At 44.4% G+C, this 21,445-nt stretch overlaps 1 annotated feature.

Moving 5' to 3' along the window:
• Positions 10,812 to 11,012: a silencer, noted in NCBI's record as "peak4024 fragment used in MPRA reporter construct". NCBI's record gives its function as "represses an SCP1 promoter by STARR-seq MPRAs in K562 erythroleukemia cells {active_cell/tissue: K562}" and the evidence as "EXISTENCE:reporter gene assay evidence [ECO:0000049][PMID:32103011]".

The raw sequence follows: 21,445 nt of genomic DNA, 5'->3' as shown, positions 1-21,445 counted from the left end.
GTTGCAGGTTTTCCTCACTTGCTGACCAAACTCATGCAATCATTTCCTAACAGATAACCCTCCGGAGGTTGCAGTGAGCCGAGATCACACCACTGCACTCCAGCCTGGGAGACAGAGCAAGACCTTGTCTCAAAGAAAATAAAAATAATAAAAATAAAAATCCTTATTGCTGGAGATAATGGTTCAATGCATATAGCAGAACCTGGATAAATTGTTGCCCATTATGATGCTAGAAGACGCCAAATAATATATTTGATTTTTTTTTGAGTGAGGGAGAATAAGGAACCTTCAAATATATCTTGGTATTCAAAATTGGCAATTTTTTCTATAACTCCAATTTGTCACAGAATATGTTAGATTGTCAGCATTTCATTAATCCGTGTTCTGTCTCCCCTAAAAATTGTGTGCAGAAAAAAGTATGCACAGAATATTAATCATTAAGAACATGCATCTAGCGCCTTTTTTGTTTTATTTAATTTTTATATACAGATAGAATAGCAGTGCCAAAATTGTATTTGAATTTTGGTATCAAAAGTATAATGTGATGTCCTGCTTGTGGATATTACCTACATTTCCCTCTGAAAATGATAAGCTTGAAGCTCTGTTTACTTGTATTATTATCACTTGTTTCTCTTATCATACTCCTGTTTAATTAACAGGTTACTTGACAAAATAAATGTATTCCTGAAAAGTTGGCAGTAAATCTGATTTATATTAATTAGTCATATTTTCTTATTGACACAAATTACCAAATTAGAGATGCTTTTTTTGGAAAGTGTTTTGGTTGTGAGACTAAATTAAAACCTTGCTTTAAAATGCAATGGAATAATGAAGTATTAAAATCACATCTTCTTAAGTATCTGGATAAAACAATGCTTTAAAAAATAAATTACTAAGATTTTAGCAATTCTTGATGCCACTGAACTAGTCTGGTAAAAAAAAAAAGTGTTTTTTTAAAGGCATAATTTCAGCTTCAGAATAGTAGCATTCTCAGTAGAAGTTTCAGTTTTGCTTTGGAACAATTTCTAACTGGTGCAGTTTTGTTTTGGTAAAAGCGAAAACTTGCGTCGCAATTTAGAAGTGGGTAGTCCACTAGAAGCAGCCTTGGACCGTGAGGAAATGGTTGAGCTCAAGCTGTTTCTCCAAAGTAGAAGTGTAACCTCGGAAAATCATCTCACCTTTCTGGACCTTCGGTTCCTCATCTGTAAACTAAGAGAATTAGGCCAGATTAGTAGTTTCTTTTTTCTTTCTTTCTTTTTCTTTTTTTTTTTTTTTTTTGAGACAGTGTGTCCGTCCCTGTGTTGCCCAGGCTGGAGTGCAGTGGTAGGATCTCGGCTCACTACAACCTCCGCCTCCCGGGTTCAAGCGATTCTCCTGCCTCAGCCTCCTGAGTAGCTGGGATTACAGGCACGCATCGCCAGGCCCGGCTAATTTTTTTGTATTTTTAGTAGAGACGGAGTTTTGCCATGTTGGCCAGGCTGGTCTCGAACTCCTGACCTCAAGTGATCCACCCACCTCGGCCTTCCAAAGTGCTGGGATCATAGGCGTTAGCCACTGTGCCCGGCCCATGTGGTTTTTTTGCTGTTAAAGGAAATGATATATACAGTGGTCTATTTCCAAGACAAAGTGCCTTGAATCAGCTTAGGTCAGCAAACTACAGAAGAAACAGCATATACTAGGCCTCTGCTTGGATAGCCAACACCTGCTTGTCGGCCTCCCCCCTCCCCCTCCAACCCCCTTAGTTGCCTTTACCCGAACCAAAGTTTAGTCTAAGATGAAAGTTTACTAGTCTGCAAGATAGCTCGCTTTGTCTATTCTTATCAGCCTGCCCAGCTACTTAGGTCCTAAGTCAAATACCCGAAGAGCCCCTGAGCTAACTAGGATTGCAATGCATTGTGGGCTGCAAAAAAAAAAATGCAGCAAGACAACCCTAAAGAAACCATCTAAATCCCCTACCCAACAATCATAGGCGATGTCTGGGAAGATTGTGACCCCATCGTCCTCAGCCTATGAGGAACTGGGGAAGGGACCTGCGCACTAGGGGACAAATTGCTTGTTGAAACTGTGCTGGGTGTTCCCATTCATCAGACACCCAATCTTGCAAGACCATCATTAAAAGTCTCACTTTCACGGTTCTCCCGGTCTCTTGAGTCCATTCTTTGGGTGTGGACAGGTGAGTTTTTTTCTCACAATGTCAAGTAGCATTTCCAGATCCCTGTGTTAGGAATGGTCTAAAGTGTCCTGTTATGCTGTGTCCAATGGGCTTTCACTAGCCCTTTGCCCATGGTAGATTCCCGTCTTAATGAACCAATACTGCCCATGTGACCTCTTTCCCTTGTGGGGACTCAGCTTGCTAATCAGAGCCCTTTTGACTATTTTTACGGACGTCTGCATGTCACTCTTCCCTCTCTTTCATAATCTTTCCCAAGAGACTCTTTAATTCCACCATGGCCTAGGGTAATGACTCCACCATGATGTCCTCGTCATCTGTGCAAGTCTCCACATAGGCCACATAGGCAAAGCTTAACCGCAACTGATCTAAGTCTTGGAATAGTGCCCTGTGATTGTCCCAGAACATGAGGAGATGCCCTAAGGCCATTTCCCACTCACCTCCCCATCTTCCATGGAGGCCGTCATGGGACACTCTCATTGTTTCTTGGGTTCTGATTGAGGTATGAGGCCTTGTCTTTACCCTTAGGGAATAGCTGCAGGCTATAAAATTGCTTAGTTGCAGCATGCCACAGGCTTCTCAGCTAGAGTGTGCTATCATCCATGCTGTCATCTGGCCACTTTTGTTTCAGTGTTGCCTTATGGGACAAAGGACATGAGGAACTGGCCTCTTTGTTTTTTGTTTTTGGGGTTGCTGTTGTTGTTTGATGTCTAAGCAATAAACTAAGTTCAACAGGGTATAAGTCTTGTTGTTTCTCTACTGGACAAATCTGCCAGCCTTGCTGGACACATGGCAGTTATCAGTGGACATGTTATATCTGTCCCTGCCACTCTTCCAATTTTTTTCCAAGTATGCTGCAGAAAAATTTTAAAAGTACTAACATGCTATGAAACAAATTAGATCGGAGAGTACTTTCCCAGATTGTATTTTAAAGGCATCTTCTCAGCTGTGGCCATTCCTCATTATTGGAAGCAACTTACTCATCCTTTCTGAAAAGTGTTTCCTCTGGAGCAAACTTGTAACCCAGTCACTGGTTGGTGTCACGAAAATGTTTGGAGTAGTTTCAGTACCATTAAGAATGTTTGGGGCCGGGCGCGGTGGCTCACGCCTGTAATCCCAGCACTTCGGGAGGCCGAGGTGGGCGGATCAGGAGGTCAGGAGATCGAGACCATCCTGGCTAACATGGTGAAACCCCGTCTATATTAAAAATACAAAAACAATTAGCTGGGCGTGGTGGTGGGTGCCTGTAGTCCCAGCTACTCAGGAGGCTGAGGCAGGAGAATGGCATGAACCAGGGAGGCGGAGCTCGCAGTGAGCTGAGATTGCGCCACTGCACTCCAGCCTGGGCAACAGAGCGAGACTCCATCTCAAAAAAAAAAAAAAAAAGAATGTTGTGGAATAATGACCTTGGAGCCTAAGTTCATCAGTTATTCAAGGACTAATTATCTGTTCTGTTTATTACCCTAGCTTCTCTGCTCTCCTAACTACTCCACTGACTGCTTGTCTTACAGACATTTTATGCTGTATAAGCACATGTGAGTAGGGGAAATAAGGAACTTCAGTCAGTACTGATGCTTCAAAAGTTGTAATTGAATAATTTAGGGGTAGGAGGCTTTTTATTTAAAAGATCTTTTTTTTTCTTTTTTTTTTTTTTTACATCCCCACCCCCTGGGAGGCTTTTTAAGGAACTAGTGGGATTTAGTTATTCTAGTAGTCCTAACGTTGCCTCGGTATTAATAAACAGTGCACAATATTCTTAAACGTTTATCTCTATTTGAAGTGTGGAATATCAGAGCTGGAAGGTTAATTTAGACTAACTCCCGTAATGCAAGAACCATCCTTCACGTGTGAAGTTTTCTAATTTTTTTTTTTTTTTTAGATGGAGTCTCACTCTGACACCCAGGCCAGAGTGCAGTGGTGTGATCTCGGCTCACTGCAACCTCCACCACCCGGGTTCAAGCGATTCTCCTGCCTCAGCCTCCTGAGTAGCTGGGACTACAGGCTACTAGTCCCAGTGCCACCACACCCGGCTAATTTTTGTATTTTTAGTAGAGACAGGGTTTCACCATATTAGCCAGGCTGGTCTCGAACTCCAGACCTTGTGATCCGCCTGCCTTGGACTCCCAAAGTGCTGGAATTACAGGCATGAGCCACTGCACCTGGCTAAGTCTTCTATCTTTACTCCCTCTCAAGTAGCCCATCCCATTACTGGATATCTCTATTAAGAACATATTATACTTAGATGAAATCTAGAAATTCCAGCCATTGGTGTGTATTCTGCATTTGGGGGTCACATATCGAGTATTACTTTTCTTCCCCACAATAAAGATCTGGGTTCTGCCATAGACTTGTTTAACAAATGTTTTAACTTCTCCGGCCTTCCATTTCTTTCTCTGTGAAAGAAAGAAGTTGAATAATAGTATTTAAAGTATCTTGTAGGTTTTTTTTTTTTTTTTTTTTTTGAGATGGAGTTTCACTGTTGTCGCCCAGGCTGGAGTGCAATGATGTGATCTTGGCTCACTGCAACCTCCACCTCCTGGGTTCAAGCGATTCTACTGCCTCAGCCTCCTGAGTAGCTGGGATTACAGGTGTGTGCCACCACACTTGGCTAATTTTTGTATTTTTAGTAGAGATGGGGTTTCACCATGTTGGCCAGGCTGGTCTCGAACTCCTGACCTCAGGTGATCCACCTGCATTGGCCTCCCAAAGTGCTGGCATTACAGGCGTGAGCCACCGTGCCCGGCCCAGTATCTTCTAGTTCTAAAAGTCTAGGGTCCTTAGATTTTAGTATAGTCAAGTCAGTGTTTCCATTTATTGATTTCAGGTTATTCCTTAAAAATTGAATTATAGGCTGAACACAGTGGCTCATGGCTGTAATTTCAGCACTTTGGGAGGCTGAGGCAGGAGGATTGCTTGAGCCTGAGTTTGAGGCCAGCCAGGGCAACATGGCGAAACCTCATCTCTACAAAAAGTACAAAAATTAGTAGGTGTGGTGACATGCACCCTGTAGTCCCAGCTATTCAGGAGGCTGAGGTGGGAGGATTGCTTGAGCTTGGGAGGCAGAGGTTGCAGTTACCTGAGACAGTACCACTGCACTCCAGCCTGGGCAACAGAGCAAGAACCTGTCTCAAAAAAAAAAAAAAAAAAAAAAGAATTATAAAGGGTCTGAGATATGGTCTGAGAGATGATTTTATGGTCACTAAATTCAAGTATACCCTTAATGCTGTCTGGCAAAGTGAAAGTGTCCCTTCACTCTTCTCCCTCTCCTAGACGATACATTCATACTTTTTCCTCTTTTCTCAGACCTCAACTCATACCTTGTCCTCACCTTTAGCAGATATCGTTGTTTCCTATTTCACTCAGAAAATTTAAGAAATCAAAGAAAAGTTCTACATTCTCCCACTACACACTGGAAGAGACATCTGTTCCTGTTCACTCCGCCTTCTTGTTTCCATGGATGATGGGTCTGTGCTCCTAGCAAGGGCCTGCCCTTCCACTCGGACATGGATCCCACACCCTTTCATTCATCAAAGACACCTTGCTATGGCCTGAATGGCGATGTCCTCCCCAAATTCCTATGTTGAACTCCTAACCCCCAGGGTGGTGATATCAGGAGGTTGGGCTTTGGGAGATGATTAGGTCATGAGGGTGGAGCCCTCCTGATAGGATAGGTGCCCTTATGGAAGAGGTGCAAGGGAGCTCCTGTACTCCTTCCACCAGGTAAGGCTAGGGCAAGAAGGTCCCAACTATGAACCAGAAAGTGGGCCCTTCCCAGGCTGGATTTTCCAGCTTCCTGATCTTGGACTTTTAGCCTCCAGAGTTGTGAGAAATAAACTTCTTTTGTTTATAAGCCCCCAGTTATGGAATTTGTTATAATAGTCCAAATGGACTGAGACATGCTGCTCTAGTAATTCTCCCTTCTCTCCTCTATTGTAAGTGTTTCCCTATCTAAAGGATCATTTCCATTTACATACAAACATGCTATTATTATGTTTCACATTTTAAAACTAAAACCAATAACACAGTGTGTATATATATACACACACACATATACATATGTGTGTATATATATCAACTTGAAACATATATATACATATTGATAGAAAGGTGTTGGCAGATTTGGACAGGAAGGGATCTAGGACAGGTACCCAGGACAACTGTCTTCAAGTATTTAAAGAATAGGGATTACATGTATTTCATGAAGTTCTGGAAAATAGTACATGGATTAGTGGCTGAACATTAAATGAAGGTAAATTTCAACTTCATAGCAATAACTTTGTAATATTTCTTAAAAATTGGAGAGGATGTCTTATTCGGGTAGTGAATTCTTTCTGGAAATTTTCAAGGAAAGTCTGGCTGTCCTTGTTTCAGAGGAATTCCTGCTTTGATAGGTGTATTAGTCCGTTTTCATGCTGCTGATAAAGACATACCCAAGACTAGGAAGAAAAAGAGGTTTAATGGACTCACAGTTCTATGTGGCTGGGGAGGCCTCACAATCATGGCAGAAGGCAAGGAGGGGCAAGTCACATCTTACATGGATGGCAGCAGGCAAAAAAAGAAAGAGCTTGTGTAAGGAAACTCCCCCTTATAAAACCATCAGATCTCATCAGACTTATTCACTATCATGAGAACAGCATGGGAAAGACCTGCCCTCATGATTTGATTGCCTCCCACTGGGTTCCTCCCACAACACATGGGAATTCAAGATGAGATTTGGGTGGGGACACAGCCAAACCATATCATCGGGGTGAAGTCCTATAGATCTATGACTTCCATAAACAAATCCTGTGGGCAAGTCAGAAGTGATCCTCTCATGCTGGCTTTACCTGAGTAAAGACTGTGGTTTCAAGCCTGCTCCTATCTCTAAGCTAAGGCAGGGACATTAAACTCCAGAATTCATCTTCTTGTGTATAACCTGGGAACCAAGAGTAAAGAAGCAAGAAGGCAAATAGAGGTTAAGAGCTTAGAACTCTTTCCTTTTTTCTCTTTATATTTACTTACTTTCCTTTTTCCTTCTTATTTTCTCCTTTATTTTCTTCCTTTTGTGTCCGGAATTGGTGGGTTCTTGGTCTCACTGACTTCAAGAACGAAGCCGCAGACCCTCGCGGTGAGTGTTACAGTTCTTAAAGGTGGCGTGTCCGGAGTTTGTTTGCTCCTTCTGATGTTCGGATGTGTTCGGAGTTTCTTCCTTTTAGTGGGTTCATGGTCTCGCTGGCTCAGGAGTGAAGCTGCAGACCTTCGCAGTGAGTGTTACAGTTCTTAAGGCTACCTGCCTGGAGTTGTTCGTTCCTCCTGGTGGGTTTGTGGTCTCGCTGGCTTCAGGTGTGAAGCTGCAGACTGTCACGGTGAGTGTTACAGTTCATAAAGGCAGCGTGGACCCAGAGTGAGCAGTAGCAACATTTATCACAAAGAGCGAAAGAACAAAGCTTCCACAGCGTGTAACTGGACCGAGTGGGTTGCCACTGCTAGCTCGGGCAGCCTGCTTTTATTCTCTTATCTGGCCCCACCCACATCCTGCTAATTGGTCCATTTTACAGAGAGCTGATTGGTCCATTTTGACAGGGTGCTGATTGGTGCGTTTACAATCCCTGAGTGAGACACAAAAGTTCTCCATGTCCCCACTAGGTTAGCTAGATACAGAGTGTCGATTGGTGTATTTACAAACCCTGAGCTAGACACAGAGTGCTGATTGGTGCATTTACAAACCTTTAGCTAGACATAAAGATTCTCCAAGTCCCCACCAGACTAACTAGATAGAGTGCCGATTGGTGCATTCACAATCCCTTAGCTAGACATAAATGTTCTCCAAGTCCCCGCCAGACTCAGGAGCCCAGCTGGCTTCACCCAGTGGATCCCGCACAGGGGCCGCAGGTGAAGCTGCCTGCCAGTCCCGCACCATGCGCCAGCACTCCTCAGCCCTTGGGCCGTGGATGGGACTGGGCGCCGTGGAGCAGGGAGCAGTGCTCGTCAGGGAGGCTCGGGCTGCACAGGAGCCCACAGCAGGTCGGGGGAGGCTCAGGCATGGTGGGCTGCAGGTCCCCAGCCCTGCCCTGCAGGGAGGCAGCTAAGGCCCAGCCAGAAATCGAGCACAGCAGCTGCTGGCCCAGGTGCTAAGCCCCTCACTGCCCAGGGCTTGCGGGCCTGCCGGCTCCCAGTGTGGGGCTTGCCGAGCCCATGCCCACTGGGAACTCACGCTGGCCTGCAAGCGCTGCGCGCAGCCCCGGTTCCCGCCCGCGCCTCTCCCTCCACACCTCCCCGCGAGCTGAGGGAGCCGGCTCCGGCCTTGGCCAGCCCAGAAAGGTGCTCCCACAGTGCAGCGGTGGACTGAAGGGCTCCTCAAGCGCGGCCAGAGTGAGCGCCAAGGCCGAGGAGGCGCCGAGAGCGTGCGAGGGCTGCCAGCATGCTGTCACCTCTCTCTTTCCCTCTTTGACTTCTTTTTTTTTTTTTTTTTCCCCGAGTCGGAGTTTCACCCTTGTTGCCCAGGCTGGAGTGCAATGGCACAATCTCAGCTCACTGCAACCTCCACCTCCCGGGTTCCAGCGATTCTCCTGCCTCAGCCTCCTGAGTAGCTGGGATTACAGGCACGCGCCACCACGCCCTGATAATTTTGTATTTTTAGTAGACACGGGGTTTCTCCATGTTGGTCAGGCTGGTCTCAAACTCCGGACCTCAGGTGATCCGCCCGCCTCGGCCTCCCGAAGTTCTGTGATTACAGGCGTGAGCCACCACGCCCCATGACTTCATTTTTGATACTAAATTCAGGCCACAGGATTGGTGAGCTTGGCTGTGGCCTGAGGGTCCGGAACCTGGATCTCAGCAGCACCCAGTCAAGGAAGGGCGGTGAGGAAGCAGGCATGGGAAGTAGTTGAGGAGCTCTAGGGCTTCTCCCTTGGGATGCCTCCCACCCACCAGTCTTGGCCACCTTACTTCGCAACGTGCTTGCTAGATTCTCTGTTGGAGGGCTCCGAACTGCAAAAGCCCTCCTTCCCCTCCTGGAACCATGGCCCTTCTTGTTTTTGATAAGCAGACCTCAAAAGACATGATGTTTCTCTTCTCCGTTTCTGAGACTCCGTTTCTGAGTCTCTATGACCTCTTAGAAGACTCTCAATAGGAGCCAATAGAGTAGAATAATTCCCCGTAGTGTTGGCTGCTTCGCGGCATGGCTGCTTAGGGAGTCCAGAACCACTGAGGAGCCCCAGGGGCCATGCTGTCTTGTACATAGCCACTGCCCTTATGGGACTACTGAGCCCTTGAAGCCTGGTTAGCTGGAATAAGAGGTTCCTTAAGGGTAAATACCTGCCAGCTTTCGAATACTTCGTATGAAAAAAAGAATGTAAAACACCTCATAAATAAAATTTTCTATTGGTTTCATATTGCAATGATAACATTTTAAGTTATTAAGTTAAATAATATATTATTAAAATGAATTTTACCTGTTTCTTAACTTTTTAGTGCAGCTACCAGAATAGTTAAAATTATGTACAGGGGCTTGCATTTTTGCCTTGCTTTATGTTTCTGTTGAACAGTGATGCCTTAATATCTTGCTACTTTAAAGTGTGGTCCCTGTACCACCAGCAGCGGCAGCAGCAATAGCAGCAGCATTTCCTGACAGCTTGTTAGAGATGCAGCGTGTCAGTGCCCACCCCAGACCTAAAGGATCAAAATCTGCATTTTAACCAGATGCCCAGGGTTTCAGGTGCAATGCAAGTATGAGAAGTGCCTCTCCCTCTGCCACCATAGAGGCCTTCCTGTAGGTTTAGCATATCCATCTGCTACCAGGAATGCATTCTAGAATGGCTACTGCACTGTGGCATGCTAAGCAGCACGTACAAGGCTGTCAATATATTGCTGCTGAAACTGTTATTGTTTTCCTGTCTCCCAGTATGGACTGTTTGGGTCAAGTTGAACTTCCAGAGAGAGACTGGTGTTTGATAACATTGAACACATTGGGTTGGGAGATGGGGTTGGGGAGAAACAGGGTGTGTCACAGGAGAGGAGGAAGTACAGAGAACAAGACAAAGTCCTTGTTTGTGCACTCCAGTTAATGTTTAACTTTACCTTGGAGAAAGAAGTGGTTGAGAGGGTGGACTTTAGTTTCTGGTTCTTTTTCTGAAAAAATATGTGGACTTAGTTTGATTATCCTCCTGTCTTGAAGAATTGCAGCTGTTGGGAATACATTGGGCCATTTTATACCCAAGTCTCGTGAACTAGGGGACTGAGCCAAGTAGGGAAAGGTCTGGGCTTTTCCTTTGTGGTCTGGTTTTCTGCTCTGCTCTGGATGAATAAACAAGTCATTTAGCCACATGAAACCTCAGTGAGATATCCCACCTCTGAATTAGGAATTTGTGTTTTGAAAACGGGAATGAATAAATGACTCAAGTAGAATGTTTAATAGCACTATTGAGCTATAGTTTACATGCCATAAAATTCACTCATTTTAAGTGCACAATTTATAACAGAATTTTTATTATAAACAAGTAGAAAAGTAATGACACTTTTCTCAGTCCTCTTGGATCAGATTGAATCATATGAAATTGTGGATGTTTAACTGTTTTTGACCTACAATGTGATTCAATCATAACTGAAATGCCCTTTTTCAAAATTCTTTCAGAGCAAGAAAATATTTTCCCAGAGAATTTTCCAGCTAATGAGATGTCCTCCCACATTCCGTATCTCTCTTTGAAGTAAACTGTAATAGATGTGTTGCTGTGTATATTTTATTCCTTTATACCTTCATTTTGAAACAAACTTTAAATAACCTCTAAACTGGACAAAATTACTTTTCCTTTGCAGAAACCACATCTTTATGTCTTCTTTATAAACTTTTCTTTTCTTTTCTTTTCTTTTTGAGACGGAGTCTCGCTCTGTCACCCAGGCTGGAGTGCAGTGGCGCGATCTCGGCTCACTGCAGGCTCCGCCCCCTGGGTTCACACCATTCTCCTGCCTCAGCCTCCCGAGTAGCTGGGACTACAGGCGCCTGAGACCACGCCCGGCTAATTTTTTGTGTTTTTAGTAGAGACGGGGTTTCACCGTGTTAGCCAGGATGGTCTCGATCTCCTGATCTCCTGATCTGCCCGCCTCGGCCTCCCAAAGTGCTGGGATTACAGGCGTGAGCCACCGCGCCCGGCTATAAACTTTTCTTTAACCAAAATCACATTCAATTTTTTTTTTTTGAAATGTGATCTCGCTCCTTCGCCCAGGCTGGTCTGGAACTCCTGGGCTCAAGGTGCTCCTCCCAACTCAGCCTCCTGAGTAGCTAGGACTACAGGTGTGTGCTACCATCCCAGCTACTTAAAAAAAAAAAAAAAAAAAAAAATATATATATATATATATATATATATATATATTACAGTCAAGGTTTCCCTGTGTTACCCAGTCCGGTCTCAAACTCCTGGGCTCAAGCAATTCTCCCACCTCAGTCTCCCAAAGTGCTTGGATTATAGGTGTGAGCCACTGTGCCTGGCCTTCTTACACATTCTGTATGCAGGAATTGTGCGTTTTATATCTAGTAGTTTTAATTTCATATATTAATTACAATTTTAACTCTTAGTAACCTTAATTTTCAATGAAAAACATAGAAATAAGCAATTTTGGTGGGGCACAGTGGCTCACACCTGTAATTCCAGCACTTCCGGGAGGCCGAGGTGGGAGGATTGCTTGAGCTTTGGAGTTTGAGACCAGCTTGGGCAATATAGTGAGACCTTGTCTCTACAAAATATTTAAAAATTAGCCAAGCGTGGTGGCATGCACCAGCAGTCCCAGCTACTCAGGGAGCAGAGGCAGGAGGATTGCTTGAGCCTGGGAGGTGGAGGTTGTGGTGAGCCAAGATTGTTCCACTGCACTCCAGCCTAGGTGGCAGAGCGAGACCCTGTCTCAAAAAAAAAAAAAAAAAAAAAAGCTGTTTTATTTTATTTTTGAGACGGAGTCTCACTCTGTTGCCCAGGCTGGAGTGTAGTGGCATGATCTCGGCTCACTGCAACCTCCCTCTCCTGAATTCAAGTGATTCTCCTGCCTCAGTCTCCCAAGCAGCTAGACCTACAGGCATGTGCCACCACACCCAGCTGATTTTTTTGTATTTTTAGTAGAGACGGGGTTTCACCATGTTAGCCAGGCTGGCCTCAAACTCCTGGCCTCAGGTGATCCGCCCACCTCAGCCTCCCAAACTGCTGGGATTACAGGTGTGAGTCACTGTGCCCAGCCTATCTTGTTTTATTTTATTTTGAGATAGGGTCTCACTCTGCTGCCCAGCCTGGGGAGCAGTGATGTGATCGTGGCTCACTGCAGCCTTGACTGCCTGGGCTAAAGGCAGAGTAGCTGGGACCACAGGTGCATGACACAACATTTGACTAATTTTTTTAAAGTTATTATTTGTAGGGCCAGGCGCAGTGGCTCACGCCTGTAATCTCAGAACTTTGGGAGGCTGAGGTGGGCAGATCACTTGAGGCCAGGAGTTTGAGACCAGCCTGGCCAACATGGTGAAACCCCGTCTCTACTAAAAATACACAAATTAGCTGGGCATGGTGGTGGGTGCTTCTAGTCCAGGCTGCTAGGGAGGCTGAGGCAGGAGACTTACTTGAACTGCTGGCAGGCAGAGGTTGTAGTGAGCCGAGATTGCGCCATTGTACTCCAGCCTGGGCAACAGAGCGAGATTCCATTCCAAAAAAAAAAAAAAAATTATTTGTAGAGACAGGGTTTCACTATGTTGCTCAGGCTGGTCTTGAACTCCTGGGCTCAAGCAATCCTCCTACCTTGGCCTCCCAAATTGCTAGGATTTACAGGCATGAGCCACCATACCTGGCTGAAATAAGCAATTTTATTTTATTTTTTCTTTTAATTTTAAAATATATATATATTTTTAAACACAGAGATGGGGTCTTGCTGTGTTGACCAGGCTCCTCTGAAACTCCTGGCCTCAAGTGAGCCACCCACCTCGGCCTCACAAAGTGCTGGGATTACAGGCATAAGCAATTTTCATTGTTATGTACCAGGTGCAGAGCCCAGGACAAGGAGAGAGCTGTAAAGACCGTATCTGGAGGATCTGATCCTTCATAGCATGGCTAGGAGGCAAGCTGGGCCAGAGAGAATGGAGCCATATTGGGCTTGGTTCTTCCCTGCAGCTGGTGGCCCAGGTACTGTGGACATACATATGTCTCCAGGCCTCACCATGGCCAACTGTCTAGACTACAGAATCCAAAGCTTAAAACCAAAGTCATAAACCCCACAGCAGGATGTTTGCAAGGCTTTGGTGGAACACAGCCAGCCTGCAGTGTTAGCTCAAAGACAAGTTAAGCAAGTATCAAAAGTATCACAGAAGCAAGTTTTTTGACCTTAAAACACCTAGCAGAGACAGCATAAATTTGTTTAATCAGTAGACTCAGGCAAAAATGTCTACATTAAATTTTGAAGACATTTTTATTTTACTCAAAAATTTAAAGCTAGCTTTACTTACCAAAAATTACATGTGAACTTGAAAAGCATTTTGGCTAGTTATTTATGAGTACTCATTTATTTATACGTCAGTTTGGTATCCTGTAGACAACATACAAATACATGTATAGACACATACATACATGTAGATACAACACACAACACACATGTACACATGTATGTATCCAAAAGTCATAGAGATTAGGGAGTTTAATACAAAAGAGAGCAGAGCTTTAGACCTGAAAGGAACCCATTCACAACTCTTGGGGTTCCATGAGGAATACAGGGGACCTCAAAAGAGGGGGGTCAGTGGTGCCTTAACTGTGTTCTTCAAGGGGTCTCGCAGTTGATAGAAATTTCTTTTAGATCCCTTTATGTGATAACTAGAACTCTGATGTTTTTTCTCTGTAATTTTTCATCCACTGACCACCAAATAGAGGAGAAGGGGCTTGAGATAAACCATATCAGACAACTGGAGGGAATATCAAAGGGGGCAAAAGGCGGGGCAGAAGCTGAAGGAAGAATGAGTCCCAGAGGAGCCAGTCTGGAGAGGTCTGCAGCTCCCCAAAAAGACCAACACAATTTTACTTTTTTTTTTTTTTAAGCAAAAATTTTGGCTGAGTGCAGTGGCTCATGCCTGCAATCCCAACACTTTGTGAGGGCAAGGCAGGAGGATTGCTTGAAGTTTGAGACCCTGTCTCTGTTAAAAAATAGAAAAAATTAAAAAAATAGCTGAATATGGTGGCATGGCATGTGCCTGTAATCCCAGCTACCCAGGAGGCTGGGGCAGGAGGGGCGCTTGAGCCTGGGAATTCGAGGTTACAGGGAGCTATGATGGTGCCATTATACTGTAGCCTGGACAACTTTGTCTCTAAAAAAATGACTAAAATAAAATAAAATGTTGCCAACTAAATAGCGTTTTATTTCAAAAGCTATTTAAACCAACACAAAACTAATTTACGTACACATTTTTTCCTGTTAATCCAAATTTAGAAATGGAAGAAGACCAAGAAAGACTCTTCCTCATTCAACTGGGCACCACAGAGACCCAGGAGAACTGACTTGGTAAAAATTTCTTAGCTTTCTTCACTGGCTTTTCATCAATTGACCCAAGATCCCATCCTGAAGTTCTGGAGCCAACAGAGCAATTTGTTGTCCTGCTCACAATACCGAACTGAAAGGAAAGCTTAAATTTTTCCCCAGAAGGTTTGATAAGCTGAGTCAAAAACCAAACTGATAACAGACAAATTAACAGGGAAAAAAAGCATACAAACTTATTAATGTGCAAATGGGCACAGGAGTCATACAAAATATGAAAACTCTCAAAGAAAGGATCTGCTGATTGATGCTTTATATCATCTTGAGGTTACAGAAAGTATAGGGGCTTGGAGTATGGTAAGACCAGTTATGAGAAAGAGAGAAGAGGACGGGCCTGGCTAGCAAACACGGTCTTGTTATGCAGATGACACCTCACAGGTAGTGGTGCTCAGAAAGAGTAAGTTTTTGTTAGACCCCCATCAGACTCTCAGTCTCTCCTGTGAGCCAGTCTCCTCGATCCCGACAAGGTCTGGGTGAGGCAGAGAAAGGGTGGCTGTTTATTTCATCAATGCAGATTTTCTTTATGAATACAAATCCCGCCCATACAAGGCAGATTTTGAGCAATTTTGTTTCCAGCCTTTGAATAGCCATCTTGAAATACCTCAAAGAAGTATATTTTGAGGTGAAATATTTTTGGTTTCCTTTATTGCACAAATCTAGATTTGATCATTCTGGTTTTCTTTCTTTCTTGTTAAGCGACAGGGTCTCACTCTATTGCCCAGGCTAGGGTGCACAATTATAGCTCACTGCAGCCTCAAATTCCTGGGCTCAAGCAATCTTACGCCAGCTTCCCAAGTAGCTAGGACTATAGGCACACGCCAGCATGCCTGGCTACTTTATTTTTTAGTAGAGATGGTGTCTTGCTATGTTGCTCAGGCTGCTCTTAAACTACTGGCCTAAAGTGATCCTCCCGCCTCAACCTTCCAAAGAGCTGGGATTACAGGCATGAGCCACTGCACCTGGCCTCATTCTATTTGTTCAAATAATTATTTTATACTATAATTCATTTTGCACTTGGAAAATGATTTTTTAATCCAATAAATGGAGAAAAGAACTTTTATCTGAGGAATGTGAGTCCTTTTAAATTATCAGGTTGAGAGAGATATTACAATGAGACAGCAGTCACATCTCACTTCCCCTCTTTTGAGCTATGTACTCATCTCTTGAAACTGCTTGCTATTGCCACAGTAACTACAAATTAACCTAATAATGCTGCACCAGACATTATAGCTCATACCCTATAGTTTAACAATGTATAGCCAGCTGGGCACGGCGGCTCATGCCTGTAATCCCAGCACTTTGGGAGGCCAACGCTGGTGGATCACCTGAGGTTAGGAGTTCGAGACCAGCCTGGCCAACATAGAAAAACCCTGTCTCTATTAAAAGTACAAAAATTAGCTGGGCTTAGTGGCAGGCACCTGTAATCCCAGCTACTTGAGAGGCTCAGGCAGGAGAATCTCTTGAACCCGGGAGGAGGAGGTTGCAGTGAGCCAAGATCGTGCCACTGCACTCCAGCCTGGGCAACAGAGCGAGGCTCTGTTTCAAAAAAAAAAAAAATTAGCCAGGTGTGTTGGTGCACGCTTGTAATCCCAGCTACTCTGGAGGTTGAGACATGAGAATTGCTTGAACCTAGGCAGCAGAGGTTGCAGTGAGCTGTGATCGTGCTGCTGTTCTCCAGCCTGGGTGACAGAGCAAGACTCTGTTAAAAGAAAAAAAAAAATCTGCTTGTAACAAAGGCCACCCAGAGCTCATACTGAAGGTTACTAGGTCTCAGTTTTCCGAGCAGCTGTCCTCACTTTGGCTCTAGTACACTCTTTAAATTATTTTTTGTGCTTCAGCCTCTTCCTTTTAGGTTGACATAAACAAATATATTCAATTTTTCCTGATAAATATATTTTTCAATATTCAGAAAAAAGAATTAAGAGACCTGAAGGAGAACTAAACATGGATATTTTGCTGTGTATAACATTTCTGATTTTCATAAGGAAAATAAATATGCATATGTCAACTAAAGAAAGAGTCAAGATTTTAAGAATTAAGATTAGTTGGCTGGGAGCGGTGGCTCACACCTGTAATCCCAGCATTTTAGGAGGCCAAGGCAGGTGGATCATGAGGTCAGGAGTTCGAGACCAGCCTGGCCAATATGGTGAAACCCTGTCTCTACTGCAAATGCAAAATTTAGCTGGGCGTGGTGGCGCACATCTGTAGTCCCAGCTGCTCGGGAGGCTGACGCAGGAGAATCGCTTGAACCCGGGAGGCAGAGGCTGCAGTGAGCTGAGATCATGCAACTCCATCTCAAAAAAAAAAAAAAAGAAGGTTTATTTAAAGTTTTACTGAAGACTATAGATCACGGCCTATATTCTGGGAACAATTCTGAGGACTGCTCCAACACAGAATTTCAGTTCACTGTATATATACAGGTGGTGAAAATTCAGAACATGCAAAATCACATGTAAGTTTGGGTACAAGAGCACATCTGGTTATAGTTTCCAGAAGCATAACACTAATCCCGCCAGACATGATCTTCTCTGTAGCAAAAGGACTAGGGTCATTTATCTTTCAAGGAATATAGCGATTCAGGCAAGAGACATGGGGTGCCCAGTGCACTATTCTTTTTTTTTTTTTGGAGATAGATTTCGCTCTTGTCACCCAGGCTGGAGTGTAGTGGCATGATTTCGGCTCACTGCAACCTCTGCCTCCTAGTTTCAAGCGATTCTCCTGCCTCAGCCTCCTGAGTAGCTGGGATTACAGGCACCCACCACCACACCCAATTAATTTTTTTTTTTTTGTATTTTTAGTAGAGATGGGGTTTTGCCATGTTGGTCAGGGTGGTCTTGAACTGCTGACCTCAAGTGATCTACCTGCCTCGGCCTCCCAAAGTGCTGGCATTACAGGCATGAGCCACTATGCCCGGCTTGCTGTTTTGTCTTCAAAGCATCTTTGGAGAGAGCTACATGTCATCACAGAGTCAGGGGCTTTGTGAAACTATGCTGGCAAGCAGACATGAACAGACATGGCTTCTTACATTGGCTACTTTGTCTCATACATGTGATAAAAACCAGAAATGTAAATGGCGAAATGAATAACGAAGTAGCAGACCCACACTCGGGCATGCCCAGCAAGCTCCTCAAACTGAAAATGCAATGTGACTATTAACACTGTTTCATCTCCTACTCTGAATTTCTTCATAACACAATCGAGAAACACATGTTTGATGGATGCAAATGATCATTTCATTTTTATTTGTGAGTGCATTCTCTTCTTTGCTAGAAAACATTTCCTGTTCTGCCCCTCTGTTGTTTCTCAACAGGACTTTTAGTCTCTTTCATAAGCCACTAGGCAAAAAGAAAAGAGGGAAGCGAGGTCAGTAAGACTGAGGCTTCTCTGACTCAGTGTGGGTCAAGTGTCTGGACTGCAGATGCTGGGAGTCCTGTGAGGTTCCACATCCCTGGCCTTGCACGTGCTGGTCCTTTTTCCTTCAGGATCCATTGCTCACCATGCCATCTTTGCTGCTCACTTTTGCTAAGTATGTTTGGGCAGGTTCACAGCCCAATGCCCAGCACCTGTGTCAGGTACTAAACAGGTGCATCACGGAGGTGTTTGGAAGATGAACTGAATGAACTTTTCGACTCAAGCACACAGTGTATAGGAAAAAAGAAAAAACAGCTGGGACTGGTGGCTCAACGTCTGTAATCCCAGCACTTTGGGAGATCAAGGTGGTAGGATCACTTCAGCTCAGGAGTTCGAGACCAGCCTGAGCAACATAGCAAGACTCTGTCTCTACAAAAAATTTTGAAAATTAGCCGGACACGGTTGTGTGTGCCTGTAGTCCCAGCAGCTACTTGGAAGGCTGAGGCGGGAGAATTGCTTGAGCACAGGAGGTTGAGGCTGCAGTGAGCCATGATTGCGCCACTGCACTTCAGCTTGGATGACAGAGCAACTCAAAAAAAAAAAAAAAAAAAAGGAAAGAAAAGAAAGAAAGAAAGAAAGAAGAAAGAAAGAGAGAAAGAAACGCTTTATAAACAGATACCAGTTTAAAAAAAGTTTCAAGAAAGTGAGACAAAAGAACACCCCCTTGAAATCTTAGAGGCGAACTAGGCATCTGTGTGCCTGCCCTCAGCTGGGAAAGCTCTGGAATAGTGGTCTTGGGGCTGCCAGGGCATGGGTTTTTCATCTGGGTCAAATATGCTCCATTCCTTCTTACCCTCCAGCCTCTCCCCTCCAGAGACCTGCTTTGAGTGAAGGATTGTTGCTTTTTACATTTCCTACAGCTCAGTGTTTGGAGCTGATCATTTGTGGAAGGGAGGGAAACCTGTGTGACTGTCGCCTGTGGAGTCTTCGCAGATTTTTCAGTCTCGACTTTCATAAATACTGAAGATGAATTTATTTTCCATATTATTTCCCATGAATTAAGCCGGGAAAGCCCCTTACTACCTGATGTTTACCAGACTGAGTCAAAGAGATTTGCTATGTGGCTTTTGTGAATCTTCCCCAAGAACCCCTCAGAGCGTCGTTTCCACTGAAATCACTAAGGGTGTGTATAATTATTATAAAGGCTTGACAAGGACAAGGTTTTCATGGGCACATTCATACCCAGTAAGGCGGATCCTGCTGCGTCTTTAGCCTTAATGGCTTTATACCAGGCATCTAAATGGCTTTCCCCTTGATTCTTAAAAAGAATATACATTTCAATTAAAAAAAAAAAGTCTTAAGATGGAACCCAAGAATAGCTGTGTCATTCAATAGCTAGATGGCTTTGGCCAAAATAAATGTAATCGAAAGGTGACGATTAAATGTAAACATCCCTCCATCTTCCTTTCTCTTAACACTCCCTTTCTTTCTCTTCTCCCCACAGTTCCCCCACCACAGCAGCGGTCACAGGCACCTGCACGCACATGTGCACTCACACGCACGCACACACATACACGCACGCACACACATGCACGCACTCACATACACGCACACACATGCACGCTCTCAGTGGAAGCGCGCATCTGTTTGCCATCTCACCTTCTGCCTTGGCACGCAAGGTCAGGGAAATCTGCCGAGACTTGCAAGGCCCCGGGGTTCTCTCTGGAGAGCAAGGGAGGCTGGTGGAAATGCCCTTTCCTTTGACATATGCAAATGTTCACCTGTGGAGCCCTGCAGGGCAGGGTGTGACTTCTGGGTTCTTTAATATGCCTGGAGGATGTTTCAATTATTGATCGAAAGAAATTGTGGCTGGTAGGAAGGGCTGGGGAGTCCAGGATTCAGCGTCTCATTTCAGATTTATTTTGGTCAGGTTGATGTTTTCCTTTAATTGGTAACAAATTTTCATTTTATTATTTGAAGCCATTCTTGAGTCCTAATCCATTAAAATTTAATATCAGCAGGAAGTTGGGGTGGTTCCAAGTATTTTTGCCTTTTTCTATTTTCTGGCTGCTTTTGGTGCCAAAGCTTTAGTGTTTTAAATCTTTTAAATCTTGCTAATTCCTCTTGCCACTCTTCAGATGTGAGTGCATGTGTGTGTTTTGACTTTCCTAATCATTAGAAAAGATTCTTCTGCTAGGATGTCTTATCCCTAGATTACTGGCCTTCCCTGTTTGTGCCTTCCTGGCTTCCGTTCCTCTTCCTTCCAGAACTTCCACCTCCATGGCCTGAATAATTTCCATGTTTCCTACCCAGCCGTTCCAGAAGCTCAACTTTGGAATCTGACAGTTCAAGATTTGAACCTAGTTTTGGTGCAGTGTCTCATCCCTATAATCCTAGCACATTGGGAGGCCTGGGTAGGAGGATCACTTGAGCCCAGGAGTTAAAGACCAGCCTGAGTGGCATAGCAAGACCCCTCTCTCTACAAAAAATATAAAAATTACCCAGGTGTTGTGGCATGCACCTGTAGTTCCAATTACTCAGGAGACTGAAGTGGGAGGATCACTTGAGCCCAGGAGGTCGAGGCTGCAGGGAGCTGAGATCATGCCACTGCACTCCTGCCTGGGTGACAGAGCAAGACCCTTTCTCAAAAAACAAAAACAAAAAAACAAGATTTAAACCCCGCCTCTCTACCAAATCTCGGCCTTGTGTAAGTTACCTATCCTTTCTCTCTCCCTCTAATACATATTATATATGTGATATGTGTGTGTGTGTGTGTATATATATATATTATATATGTATGTGTGTGCATATATATATATTTATGTATATATATATTTCTAGCTTCTCTGAAAAATCTCCAAGATCTGGCTTCTGTGACTTTCCTGGGAGGCAACAATCAAGCCAAGCTGAACAGTGCTGTCCCCTTTAGATGACGTGCTCTTTGTCACCACCCTTGACCCATGCCAATATTATTGTTTCCAATTGTTGACTTATCTGAATTGTTCTGATGGCTCTTCGAGTCCAGCTGTTTCCTGACTCCTGTCTGAGCTGCGTGTTTGGGTTCCCGCGTCTAGGATGAATGAGAATGAGCTGGGAGTGGTATGACTGGGGAGGACTATACTTTTTAAGGGTCTGGCGCTTTCATGCTCTGGACCTTTGCCCTTTGCTCACTCTGTACACTCAGACTGGACTGTTCTTCCTCGGTTCTTTACTGGAGAAGTCATTCTTCCTTCAAGGCCCAGGGTAAATGGGGCACATCACACTTTGGGGTTTCTTTCTGCTCTTGCACAGCACTCAGGGAAATCCCTCCTTTGTTTGAGGCCTGTGCCTCTGCTGAGTGCTGATCTCAGTCATTTACACGTCTGCCTTCCCTGGCTTATTGCACTTTTTCTAAGGTAG

Source organism: Homo sapiens, chromosome 2 (assembly GCF_000001405.40).
Source record: "Homo sapiens chromosome 2, GRCh38.p14 Primary Assembly".
Lineage (NCBI taxonomy): Eukaryota > Metazoa > Chordata > Mammalia > Primates > Hominidae > Homo > Homo sapiens.
This window is presented reverse-complemented; position numbering and strand designations above follow the sequence as displayed.